The following is a 13,022-nucleotide window of genomic DNA, read 5'->3' on the forward strand; positions in this document are numbered from 1 at the left end:
AATACAAGTCAAGGAATAGGCACTTGCTGTGTGCTCACCATGATGTGATGACATAAGTGATGAGCACACAGCATCGTCACTTGATGCTCACCATAACCTAAGATATGGGTTGGAGGGCTTTCACCTTGAGGCAAGAGAGCTGAAACTTCAAGGGGTAAAGTTTACCTGCCTAGGGCCAGTAGAAAGTAGAAGCACCGGAACCTGAAGCAAAGAATGGTTGCTCCAGAGCTCTGTCCACCACAGTGCACTGCCTCCGAGGGTGGTGGTGTTACTTCCTTCTGAGTGAGGCATGCACTGAAGGATGCCAACATCATCCTGCACTGGGGTGAATTTGTCTCCCATTCAGTTGTGCCAACTAAAAAATTACTTGCATTATTAGTCTTTTAACAAGCCCCCTCTCCTTTCTACATCAGCAAGTCAGTAGATACTTTCCTTCTACTTCTACTGTGTATGAAGACATATGAAGACAGCTTGGATAAGGAGATTATAATTTGTAATTAAATATTAACCTTTCTGACAGTATTAAAATTAAACCACTCAGAATTCTTCATCCCTAATCAGGTGGTTCCTGCCCATAACTACATCTTCCCTAATAGTCCTGCTAGTTTATGGCCCTTTCCAGAGTGCTAATTGTTTCAATCGCTGCCAACCTGATGAATTGACTTAAAAATGCTATCTCGGTCGGAGCGCATTAGCATGCTATGCGCTGCTTCTTGCTTGCCTGCTTGTCAAGTGGGTCTGCTCCAGGTTTGGTGGAGGCAGAGCACAGCTACTGGCAGAGCTAGGGGGAGTTTAAGAGCCTTCAGCCATTTATGAAGCAGAAGGGGGCTCAGGAGGACACAATCTGAGCTACCTTGTTTCTGTGGCTGCCAGTGGGGCAGGCAAGCCAGAAAGAGAACAGGAGTCCAAGACTCTGTGCTGCTGGGGCCACTTGGCTGGCAGAGGCCCAAGAAACTCCTCATTGCCTTGGCCAGGGAGGCTTTCCTTAGAAAGGCAAGAGCATCTGGGGTCTCGGGCGACCTCCTGCCCTGGATGCTGGGAAGGCTGGTAGGAGAATGTTTGGCTTTCAGTGAAATGTTTTTGCACTCTCTCCGAGGACTGCTGTCTCTGCACAAAAGCATTTCCTTTCTCCCTAAAAAGTTAAACTGAGCAGGCCTTGGAAAGCCTGAGTGTGAACAAACAGGGGATGGGGATGGCCCTCTCCTGTGGAGAATCCAGGGCTCTGAGCCATGGAGGAAGGGGGACTATAAGTATCCCAGGCTCAAGACATAAGAAACCATGTTTAAAAGCTCATGCAGGATAGTGAGAGGCAACAAGGCATCCTCTTATTCCCACTTGTTTTCTCCTACAGCCCCCAAGACTCCCATTAGCACAGCCATGACTGCACTGAACAGTAATGTTGTCTTTCTGAAGCTGTTTCCCCCTCCAACCTGAGCTCCTTGGAGCAGGGGGAGTGTCTTAATAAATGCTGTATTAGCAGCATCTAGTACAACACCTGGCATGGCACAGATGCTTGAAAATGTTGTATGGTAGATCTCACTTTGTTTCCTCAAGAGTCAGGCAGGGCAAGGATTATTATTCCTATTTTACAGATGAAGAAACTGAGGCACAAAGAGGTGGGATAACTTGCCCAAATCTCTGGAGCAACTGGTGGCCAAGTTGGGGCCAGAGCTGAGGTCTGCTTCCTGGGTCAGGGCCCATCTTTTTGATTGCCTATTACTGAATTCAGAGGGTCAGATTTTTTGGGATAGCAGGAATGGTGAGGTCTCCACGATCTGCAGATCAGACCTAGGTCCCAGTTCTTACCTTTTTAGCATCTTTGTGCATATATTTGGCTGTCTGCTTGGCCAGCTCTGTTTTTCCTAGTAAGAAAGAAGGGGGAGGTGTTGGGTTAGAACCAGGTGACTAACCGCTGGAATGAAAGAATACTAGAAATGCACGGACACTAGAAAGAATATATTCTATGGATGAGAATGTTGAGGCGCAGAAAGGATCAGCGACTCTCCCACAGTCACCTAGGGAGTTAATGGTGAAGCTGGGACCAAAATCAAAGTCTGCACCTGCATCTTAATTTTTCTGGGATTGGGATTGAGGCCTTTTCTCTGTAGCACCATCCTAAGAGTGACAGGCTGACTTTATAATCCAGAACCAACTTGCTTTTTAAAGCCCAGTACAAACCTCACCTCTTCTAGGAGTCCCCAGGCCTCCTGGCTCACTGCCCTGCATCCCTCTCAATACCCACAGTCCTGCCATTTAGCCAGGCCCTGGAACCACATGGCAGATAGAGGGTGGGAGGGGCTGAAGAGTACCTCTCACTGTGGCTTCACGGTCCTTCTTTGTAACACAGAGAAGGAATGACAATACTGAAGTGGGGGCTCTGAAGGGCCATTTGGTGGATGGTAACCTTTGGAAGTCCCTGACTAGTATAAAAGTCAAGTTCTGTAGCATCATGGTCAGGTGGTGGTATCCTTTTGGGGGCCTACATCTGAGGGAGAGGCCCATGAAGATGCTGGGAGGGGAAGAGGAGGAAACTAAACCATGAAATTTCCCATCAGGTTCCCTTCAGGTTCCAGTGCTTCTGGTGGGAGGTGGTAGTGAAGGAATGGGGGGGTTCTGTCAGGGCAGAGAATGAAGGGGTAAGAATGCCTCGGATAATCCAGCCCAACTGGCTAGAAAAATACTCAACCCATCTTACTGCAACCAATTTTGCTATCCACCTGGCACCATGGTGGTCATTAGGGGCCTTCTTTAGCATTTACAGCTAGGCTGTACTGAACATGGTTGATGTGCTGGGCAGAGGAGGTGGTTCAACTGTTCCCGAAGGGGAGGCTCTGCGCATGCAGAGTGGCTGGACCAGGGTTAATGGGCCCTGAAGGGCCTGGTCCTCCATGTGAATCAGTCTTAGCACCACAACTTCCAGAGGGAGGGGCATATTGCAGCTCTTCATAACATGACAGATGGTAACAGAGTCCTCTTTCTTGGTGGCTCTGTAATCTGGAGGCCGTTGCTTTTAGAGCTCAAGTTGACCTAGAGCTGGACCTGCTGACCCTGGCCCGCAGCAGCTGGGGCTGTCAGACTTGGGCCGGGCACTACCCTAGCTCTCTGTCCCCACTGGCTGATCTGCTCCCAATTACCTATTCCAGATGATCCCAAGAAGAGGAAGACCAGAGGGTGTTCTTCATCGTACCAGCCATTCTCCTTCCTCCGGATCGCTACGGCCAAACACACAAGATCAGGGGACAGGGAGGGAGGCAGATAAATCAATGACACAAAAGGCAGGATAATTATCACTAAGTATACAATATGTTTTACTGCTCTGCGCCCACTCAAAGTCCTCACTACCATTAGTGCTGCCTAATCTGATTAGCTGGCAAGGCCCCTAGAGACACGTAATCAGGTTAGCATGGATTTGGAAAGCTGCCCAGAGCAGATTTCGGATAAAGTTTTCCAGGATGAGCACTCAGCGTTGCTAGGGAAACTGAAAGGCGGGTGGATGGTGAATGGAGGTGAAGGGGGTGGGGGACTGGTGAAGGAGAATTCGAGAGGAACTTCTGCTCTCACTGGTTACTCATCTACTCATCGCTAGTGGGACTACGGGCCGCCTCCTATGCAAATACAAGAGGCAGAAGCCCATGGCAGGCCCTTGGGGATGTGGGGTGTGAGCCCTGGACTCTTTCCTGTCTGGGGAAGCTAAGGTCTGGTCCACTGTCTGGGTCAGAAAGTGGAAACACAGCCAAATGCATTTTCTGGAAGTCAATCAAAGGCAATGTGGAGCTCAGGGCATGGAAGGGGTAAGCCACATGGTTACCAGAGATGCTGACCATAGCCTCCAGTGGTGGAGGGAGTGGGGAGCACGGGGAGTGGGACAGATAGGTACCAGGTTCCTTGGAGGCTCAACTCTGCTAGAGCAAGACCTGACCTCCTCTTCAAGAGGACGTATGTAATTAAGGGCTATGCATTCAATCTGAGAAAACTAAGTGCTTAATTATGGAGTAGGAGAATCAGGCTCAGAAACATTCTCAAGTATACGAGTGGGGGTGGAGTGAGGCAGAACTGCAAGAAGAATCATGCACTGAACATGCTGTATGCTAAGCACAATGGGAAAATTCACCAACAACGTATCTATTCAAGACCCACACAAATACCCGGAGAGGAAAGTAGTATTCTCAACTCCATTATACTGAACACGAAACTGAGGCAACAGATAGAGACTTGCCCAAGTCACACAACTAGTAGATGGCAGAGTTGCTTCTCTCTCTAAACCTGTCGTCTTTTTTTAAAAAAGTAACATATGGCTGCTCAAAAAAGTATGAATTTTGGTTGCACTAATGGAAACACGGCAGTCAGGAGCAGGAAAGAGAGTACTGTGTAATGTCAAGGTCAGTCTGCAAATGGAACAGCATGTCTGATCTGGTCCCCAGGGTGTCAGGGGAAAATTAGCTAAGGGATAGATGTCAGAGAACAAGGCCTGGAACACTAGTCAATGGGGAAAGATTTGACAGTGTTTGGGATGTGTCTGCCCATCTTGAGTTGCCAAGATCCTAACTACTATACTGTGTGGTTGGATTTCAAAGAAACGACTGCAGAGGTCTGGGAAGGTTCTCTGGAAGAGGCAGGACTGGTGATGGATCATGGAGGATGGGCAGGATTTGAAGAGGCAAAGGTGGCCAGCATGTCAGAGGTGGAGAGACAGGAATGATCATGAGGAGTGGTGGGGTGGGACCAGACTGTGAAGGTCTGGAATACTGTTTTAGGAGTTCAGCCTCAAGCCAGTGGTCTTTCTCATCTCGATCTCTAATGTTCCTGCCTAAAATACGACTTTCTCTCTACTTCTGGCCTCAGTAGAAACAGATGGAAGCTGTGCAAATTCATGGACATCAGACTAGCCACTTCTGCCTGCCCAGAAAATGCTCCCTGAGAATCCTGAAAGAGGCCTGAGAAAAAGCTCAGTATAACCTCTCTCCTGGGCAAGAATCCAGATTTTGTCTAAACTAACTGGCCCAGGATCTCTGGAAAGGCTGGCTATAAGGGGAACCCACAGACCTCATAGGTACCTGAATGCTGGGGATGAAGAGGGAAAAGTGCAAGCTTGGCTAAGCGGGGAGTCCCTGGTGTCCAACAGAAACAGGGAGCTGAGAGTGTGGGTATCTGAGGAAGTGAAGATATTGAAACGGCAAAGGCTAGACTTGTGAATACTGTGTGGACATGTGTGTACGTGTTAGGGCAGGGGTGACAGCAGTGACGTGAAAGGAGCCGTGTTCTTCTAAAAGTTGGCTAAATTAAGAGTCTAGGTTGGAAACAAGTTGAGCATGAACTGAGTTCAAGCTTCATGGGGTATTTGGGGAGGGAGATGTACCCAGACATCCCCCTACGTGGGTTCTGCAGGGTATCATGTACCTGGGGTTCTGATCCTGCCTTTTCTTTTAAGGTAGCATCCCAGCCCACAGAGAGCTGCACACTGCTGGGCTGTGCAGTACAAAAACACCATGGAGAATGAGGAATTGAATTATGCCTGGGGCCACTGTTCCCCGCTTCTTTTCTAAGAATGCACCTGGGAGAGAGCTCTTTATAATGCCAGGCAGACTTCACTGCACAGCTGTCCCTGGTCAATTCTGCCCGACCTAGGGCATGAGTCCGGGGTGGGCTTGATGTGGGTCCCCTGTGAAACAGGTGAAATGCCAACCATTAAGCAATTCCAACTCTGGATATTTCTAATAATATCTGAAGAGAAAAACAGCCAAGCAGATGGAGTCTGACAGAATGAAAAATGGTGGCAGCTAGGAAGGACTGGAGAAGGCGGGCCCTAGTGTTTGTGGTTGGCAGGGTGGCCGAGGACCAAGGCTATGGGCCTTGAGGATCCCGTCAGGCCAGAGTAGAGGCTGGGACAGAGACCTGCATGGGCCCACGTGGGAGGTGGCCATAGTTGTTGTTGCTCTCACTGTGGCCAGCAAATGTATTTACAACTGACTCACTTCAACATTTCATTGTTGTCTATAAAGAACTTCTGTAGACATAATTTCATTTCAGCCTTGTGAGGTAAGCAGAACAGGGGACTTGATTTCCATTTTATAGGTGAGGAAACATGCACGCAGAAGTTAGGTGACCTGCTTAAGGTTACAGGGGGAAGAAACAAAGACCCTGGGCTTTACCCTCAGTTCTGGCTTAGCCTGAGCCTGCGCTGTACTATGGGAGCTTAGAGGAAGGTCAGCTCTCCTCCTCTGACTCTCCGCTGCCACAGCACCTCCTCACACCCTGACTCCTTGGAAAACGTTCTCTGTAGTCTTCCAATCTGGCCTGCTCAGCCATTCAGCACATGGCCTCAGGAGCCCCTGTCCCCTAACCCTGTCTTGGTCACTGCTCTTGGGCTAGAGATGGTGTCAGGGCCCTCTGCACAGGCAGCCTGGCTCCCTTCTCTGGCCAGTCCCATCGCCACAAGCTCCAGGCAGGCTGCTCTGCCTCCCAGCAGGTAGTGCCGGGTGCCCACCTGGCTTGTGTTCTGCTTTCTCCTGGCCATGCTTGTCACTACTGGACCATCTGAAAACTCACCTGCAACAGCTCTTTTTGATTCACTCCACCACACCACATCTAGCCATTAACTTGCAGGTCTGTATTCTCTGGCATGCATTCATCTACCGGGTGGTATAGTGGAGAGGGCAGGAGTTACAGGATCTAGCATGGAGTCCCGCCTCTGTCACTTACCAGCTGACTGACTTTAAATAAAACACTTATTCCTTTAGAGCCTCCGTTTCTTCCTCTATAAAATGGGAACAGTCACATATACTGTGTCAGCCCCACATGCAGATTAAACAAGTTAATGGTGATGAAAGCAATTTGTAAGTGGCGAGGAGTGGGATAACAATAAGAGTAAAAATAATGGTAGTCATAGCAGCAGCAATGGTAGTTACCATTAGCTTTGGTATTTTACAGTAACTCTTTCATCCTCCTAATAATCCTGATAAGTAGGTGTTATCTCCATTTTACACAGGATACCGAGGCTCAGAGACGGGCAGTGTAAGGTGTTTCATCTACCTGTGCCCTTGTGTCTGGCAGGGAGGGTGTGCCCCCAATCTGACCATATTCCATGGGAGCAGGTGCTGGGTGTCCTGGGTGCCCTATTTTCTGAGGACCCCTGAGACTAGCCCAACACTGGTTTAATACTTGCTGACTAAATGAATTATTGGTCTTTCTCAAATTGCAAGGGAGAAAGAACAGGTACTTCAACTCATTTTACAGAGAAGAGGAGAAGAGTAAGGCCTAGACTTGAGTCTCTTAGTGCCCCAGGTAGTTACTACCACTCTTGCATGAAGAAGGCTTCCACTTTCTTCTAAATCCTTCTCCAGGAAGCCTTATGTATTTGTTTAGCAAAAAAGCTCTGTGCTAGGTGCGGCGGCTCTCACAAAGAGGCCTCAAAAAAGGTGCGTGCCATAGAGGTAAAGGCTGCTATGAAAACTGTGGGCTCCAAACGGGATGGGTGCACAGAGGGAAGTATGGGAAGAGCCATTTGTGCTGGCCTGACATTTGTGCTTGAAGGGTGAGAGGGAGATTGCCAGCCACTTGCAGGTATGATGGGACATTCCAGGAAGAAGGCCCCAGTGTGTGTACAACCAAAAAGGCAAGAGCGGCCTCCTCCTTCCACCCCAGGCCTTTGTTTCTGTCCAGCTCAAGGTTCTAGGGCAGTCTGGGTGGGCTGACTTACCTTTCTTGATAGGTGCCAGGGATATAGTGTGGGAGGTTTTTTATAACCTAATCTGGAACATGTTTGTCACATGTCTGTGGCATCTCCTAGTGGGAACCAGTCCTTCAGAGGGACTCTCATGGTTGAGAGTCATACAAATGTTTATCAGCAATTGCCTGACAACTGCTTGTAGGTTCAAGGAACATGGTAAGTACTCGACAGGTGCCTACTGAGTGGATACTGATGCCTTGGGTTTGGTGGATCATGAAAGAGCTCTCTTCTTAGTCCTTAGTAAGGATTATTCTTTCTGCAGGCAAACTATTGCTGCCAAGTGGTTAACAACTTAAAAATGCAAGTAGTAGCTTCTTACAAGACCTAACATTGTGCGTGAGCTCAGGCTTCATTCACTGAGTTCAACAACTTTTTATACACCTGTGTGCCCAACCTTACAGAAAAAGAGCTGGTGTGCAGTAGCTCTGGACTTTTGGAGGGAGAAAGACATACAAACATAGTAGATAACATGTGATAAAGGTATTCCTAGGAATCCCAGGGAACGAGCCCTGAATCCAGGAGGACTGAGGAGGGCAACCTGCAGAAGGCCTAGGTCTCTTCTTTTTTAAATGGGTATTTGTGGGGTACATGAGATATTTCGATATAGGCATACAATCCATAATAATTACATCAAGGTAAATGAGGCATCCTTCACCTCAAGCATTTATTATTTCTTTGTGTTACAAACATTCCAATTATACTCTTTCAGTTGCTTTAAATGTATAGTAAAGGGCCTAGGTCTTGAATGTCTCAGCAGACAACGTGGAAGGGCAGGGCAGTCCAGCAACGAGAAAGCACAGCAAATGACTTCAGAAGTAACATGATGTGGGGTGGAACTGCAAGCAGTTTTGTAAGTTAATCACTACAACTCCACAACCCAGGGATGACCTAGATGTATTTCTCAGATGAGGATTCAAAGGGAGAGTCCAGAAGGGTGCAAAGCTTGGGAAGATTATGTTTTTGGGCTGGTCAAAGAGGGAAGTGAAGCATGAGATCTGGTGGTGTGCCGTGGTGGCCATACGCAATCCTTCTGTAATATGGAATATGCGTCATACTCTGGCAGAGCCGAACACATGAGGTGGCAGAGCTTCCCCAGGGGAGCATGTGGCTTCAGAGGGTCAACCGGGACTAGGTGGACGGAAGCTCGGGACAGGTTCCTGGTCAGAAGGAGCTCCGAGAAAGCTGCCGGGTATGTGCAGGCTGACCTGCTGCCCAGGAGAGGCTTCTTAGAGCAGGTCTGGGGAATAGCCTGCCCACCCCAGGGGTCAAAGGTCAAGGAGTATGGCTGTAATAAGCTATTCTATAGTTGTATTCCCAGTATGCTGTGGGCTACTAGAGAGCAGGTGTTGCAGCTTCTCTGTTTTACCTCAGGGTACATCCTAGAGCCCATGAGGGCCTGGGCTCTGGGGCCATTCCCTAGAGATGGACAAGGGGCCAGACCAAATTCTTTAATTTAACAAACTGCACTAAGCATCTACTTTGAGCAGGGTGCTGTGCCAGGAATTGGGAGCACAAAAACGATTAAGTCATGTTATCTCCCCTCAAGCAGCCTGCAGTCAATTGCTCCTGAACTGAGTTAGGCTAAGTAAAAACCAGCCAGTGTGTCGGCAATGGGCTGGGGTGGGGTGGGGGAAGGGCCAGAAGGGAAGGATTGCAAGCAGAGAGGGTGGCAGACAAATGCAGGCAGGAAATCGACAGAGTATGTGCAGAGAGGCAGAGGCAGGCCATTGTGGCTGGTGCATGCAGCACAAAGCAGGGAGCAGCAGGAGCAGGCCTGCATGCCAGGTTAGGGCAGCAAGGAACATGCAAAGGTTTTAAACAGGAGTGGTACTGTTAGATACGTGTTTTGCAAAGATCACTCCAACTGGTGAGAACTGATTCTAGGGGAAGGAAGGGAGGCAGGGACACCAGTGAAGGAGCTGCCTGGTTCAGATAGGAGACGTGGACACCCTGAGTTAGGGCAGTGGTATTAGGAAGAGAGTGGAAAGGCCAGGTGTTTGATCCTTCATTGGCTGTAAGGGGTGAGGGGGAGGGAGGGGCCAAGGAAGCATCTGAGTTTCTATTTAAGAGACCAGTGAATGTGGTCTCTACACAGATCAGAACACAGGAGATGAGCAGGCTGGGGAGGGGGAGGAGTCTGGTTCTGTATGTGCTGAATAGATAGCTGGTTGCCTTTCTGAGGAGCATGGTGGGGCTTAGAGGTGCTGAGCTCCCAGGAAGTCTGCCCAACAGGGCAGGCAGCCTCCCTTCCTCAGGATCGAGAGCAGCTCTGGATTCTGGAAGGAGAGCCTCACTTTCAATGCCAAGGCTCTGGCTTGCAGGTTGTCCTGGTTTGGCTCCAGTGGCCCTAGACCAGAGAGGCCATGGGGGCCTGAGCTGTGAGGCTGACGCTTTATCTCCTCCGTTTGTAAGGTGGTAACTGTGCGCCAGCCTTGCTAGAGGCCCTGCAGCTGGGGATCACACTGATAAATTCACTGTATTACTTTGCACAAATCAATATCCCAGCACTTACCAGGGGTTGATGTGACCGAAATTGGTTTCAGCCAATTCGTGAGGGTAATAAATGGCCATTTATCAAATCAATTCATTCTGCGGCACTTCTCTGGCTGCCCATCCTCATGGTACCCATGGGGTGCCAGGCTCCATCCAGCCAGTCCCTACCACACATGTGACACTAGCTTGGAGAACTCAGGGAGGCCTGGCCTAGCCTCTAGATCTGCCTCACTCTCCTGGACCTGCTTCAGTTTGAGGTCCCGAGGTGTTGGGTGCTGCTTGCCTACCATAAGTTCTGACCCAGAGAGTGCTTCATGCTTCAGCTGGGCTGGCAGTTGCAACCACCGGGCTGCCTTATTCCCTCATGCTTGGGTTTAGAAGCCTCTGGGAGCTAGTCACAAGGACTGGGCATGGCTCTGAACATTATCATTGTGATCCCCAGCTGCAGGGCTTCTCAGCAAGGTGGATGCAGTAACTTCCTTACAAATGGAGGTTAAAAAGCACCAACCCCTCAATCCAGGCATACCACACGACCAGGTAGGGCCTTCCTGGGGCAGTGGTATTTTAAACTTCAGCTGAGTGTCAGAATCACCTGAAGGGCCTGTTAACATACAGATCCCAGAATTTTTGATTCCACAGGTATGGAATAAGCCTGAGATCTGATTTTTAACAGGTTCCCAGAAGATAGTGATGCCGCTGGTCCAGAGACCATGCTTTGAGAACCACTGTGTTGGGGGATACACCTTTGTCTTGGCCTGGCCTGGGGTTCCTCTTCCCTTGCCTCATCTATCTGAAATCAAGCCCAAGGAGTGGTGCTCCAGAGTCGGAGAACAAAGATGAGGCCACTGTATTCAGCAGAACCTTAGTTTTAATTATCTGCTCGTTGGGTCTGCACAGGCAGGAGGGCCATTACATTAGGGATTACACCAGAGGGCAGTCTGGCTCCCAGGGATCAAAGTATGGAAATAAGAGCTTCATGGGTGGAGAAGACACTCAAAAGTTGCTCAGGATATTTTCTATAAAATTAGGCCAGCTGCTGACAAACTATCTGGAAGTGACAGAAGAGTCCCAAGTTGACAGATGGGGACATAAGTTCTGGCTCAGCTGCTACATTGCTAGTGACAGACAAGCTCCCATCCCTCTCTGGGTCTCAATTCTCCCACTTGAAAAATGGAGTTGAGGGTAGCGGACCAGATGACGGTCAGAGTTAAATTCTATGCATAGGAAAGCAGCCTCGAGCAAGTGATTTAGGTATTCTGTGTCTTGGCTTCCTCAGCAGTAAAATGGGATTTAGCAGTACCAACCTCAGAGGATTGCCATGAGGATTAAATGACACATGACATGCAGAGAGCTTATAACAATGTCTGGCATGTAGATAGTACTCAACAAATGCTAATTTTTAATATTATTAACAGCGCCTATCCAGTTTGGTGACGACAGGATGTACCCCTCAAAGGGCACCACTCTGCCCTTTCTGGTGTCCCACACACTCACCAGCACCCACTGTGGCGATGGCGCTCTCCTGGCCAATGATGTGCTCCTTTAGTCGCTGCTCCAGGGGGAAGCGGCGCCGCTCCTCAGCCTCACGCTTCCGCTGCTTCTCTTGGTACTGTGGGGAGAGAGGGCAAATGGTTGAGGGCTGCCGGGCCCATAGCACCATAGCTTCACTCTATCCCCCAACTCGGGGAAAACACAGGTCTGGGTATCCAGGGGTCCTGCTTCATAGCTGTGGTTCATGGTCACTGGAGGCTGGTCCAGCCCTTTCCACTCTCCACTCAGGTGGCTGCCGCTCAGGGGTCTCGGCTCACTCTGCTGGTAGAGTAAGTACTACTAGCAGATTAACCGTGGCTCTGGAGTCTGACAGAAGACCTGGGTCCAAGCCCAGCTTTATCACTTATGAGATGTGCTTATCACCTGGAGCAAGTTATTTCACCTCAGTTTTCTCATCAGCAAATTGGGGATTAAATATTAATATGATGATGTATGTAACAGGCCTAGCATCATGCTTGGCATGGAATAAATGCTTAATAAGTATAAATTCCTTTCTCTTTCCTCTTGAAAAACGTTTTGCTCAAAAGAGAGCTATGAACACCCTCCATTTCAATTATGCTGCATTTCAATTAAACATAATTATTCAGCAGTTCTTGCATGCCCAGCCTTGTGCATGGCCATGATGAAAGGGTGGGGCAGAGGAAGGAGGACTGTGCCCCGTTGCCTGGGAGGTTCTAGTTGATGCTGAGGGTCTGGCATGTCTGGCCCTGGGCTTCATCCACTTCACAAAAGGCAGCAGGAGAAGCCTAAGCTTGGTTGCCCGCACAGAAGAGGAGACCCGGGCTTGCCCTCAGGCAGCTCAAAGTCAGGAGATGAGGCATGGCCTGCACACAAATACTTCGCAACCATTTTCCTCAAGGGTCCAAAGCATGAATGTTTATCTCTAGCACTGTATCTTTCACTAAAAACACAAAAACCTACTTGAAAACAAGTTTGGTGAATATAAGTCTGTCCTCTAAATCAATTATGAGCTCCCCAAGGACAGGCCCTATCTTTGACTCACTGCTATTTCTAGCATGGGTCCTGGCATAGTGGGGCATCTGGTGAGTGTTTGCAAAAATGACAAAGAGGAGAGAATTAACAGCTAGATGGGGTGGTGTAGGAGTAGAGAAAGGAAAGACACATAAGTGTGGAACATCTGTTGGGGGGCTTTCTGGGGAACAGGAGGCTTGAAGAAGCTGGAGGAAGACTGGGCCAGGAGGGAGCCGTGGGACTGTCTGGAGAACAGGCAAGGAGGGGTGAGGGCAGGGAC

General features: G+C 49.2%; 1 protein-coding gene across 8 annotated transcripts in view, besides 3 other annotated features; it reads right to left on the reverse strand.

Annotated features, from left to right (window-relative positions):
• Window positions 1-13,022, reverse strand: part of CLPB (ClpB family mitochondrial disaggregase) — a 149,037-nt gene that overhangs the window by 19,898 nt on the left and 116,117 nt on the right. For 7 of the 8 annotated variants that reach the window (NM_001258393.3, XM_005274320.2, NM_001258392.3 and 4 more), the window contains 3 exons: window positions 11,714-11,828; window positions 3,135-3,212; window positions 1,807-1,862 (listed from right to left, as the gene is read on the reverse strand). In NM_001258393.3, the coding sequence (NP_001245322.1) occupies window positions 1,807-1,862; window positions 3,135-3,212; window positions 11,714-11,828 (249 nt within the window). Of the gene's footprint in view, window positions 1-1,806; window positions 1,863-3,133; window positions 5,660-11,713; window positions 11,829-13,022 lie in introns of those variants that run through there. The other variant, XM_011545289.3, reaches the window with a different exon arrangement.
• Window positions 3,072-3,553: a silencer, noted in NCBI's record as "fragment chr11:72019508-72019989 (GRCh37/hg19 assembly coordinates)". NCBI's record gives its function as "represses an EF-1alpha promoter that drives an FKBP-Casp9 reporter gene in an ReSE screen in phorbol 12-myristate 13-acetate-treated (for megakaryocytic differentiation) K562 erythroleukemia cells {active_cell/tissue: K562(+PMA)}" and the evidence as "EXISTENCE:reporter gene assay evidence [ECO:0000049][PMID:32094911]".
• Window positions 9,293-9,587: a silencer, noted in NCBI's record as "tiled region #1135; K562 Repressive non-DNase unmatched - State 14:Gen5'". NCBI's record gives its function as "represses a minimal TATA promoter and a strong SV40 promoter by Sharpr-MPRA in K562 cells {active_cell/tissue: K562}" and the evidence as "EXISTENCE:reporter gene assay evidence [ECO:0000049][PMID:27701403]".
• Window positions 9,691-10,192: an enhancer, noted in NCBI's record as "H3K27ac hESC enhancer chr11:72026127-72026628 (GRCh37/hg19 assembly coordinates)". NCBI's record gives its function as "activates a minimal SCP1, AML or CMV promoter by ChIP-STARR-seq in primed H9 embryonic stem cells {active_cell/tissue: H9 hESC(primed)}" and the evidence as "EXISTENCE:reporter gene assay evidence [ECO:0000049][PMID:30033119]".

This window comes from Homo sapiens, chromosome 11 (genome assembly GCF_000001405.40).
Source record: "Homo sapiens chromosome 11, GRCh38.p14 Primary Assembly".
NCBI lineage: Eukaryota > Metazoa > Chordata > Mammalia > Primates > Hominidae > Homo > Homo sapiens.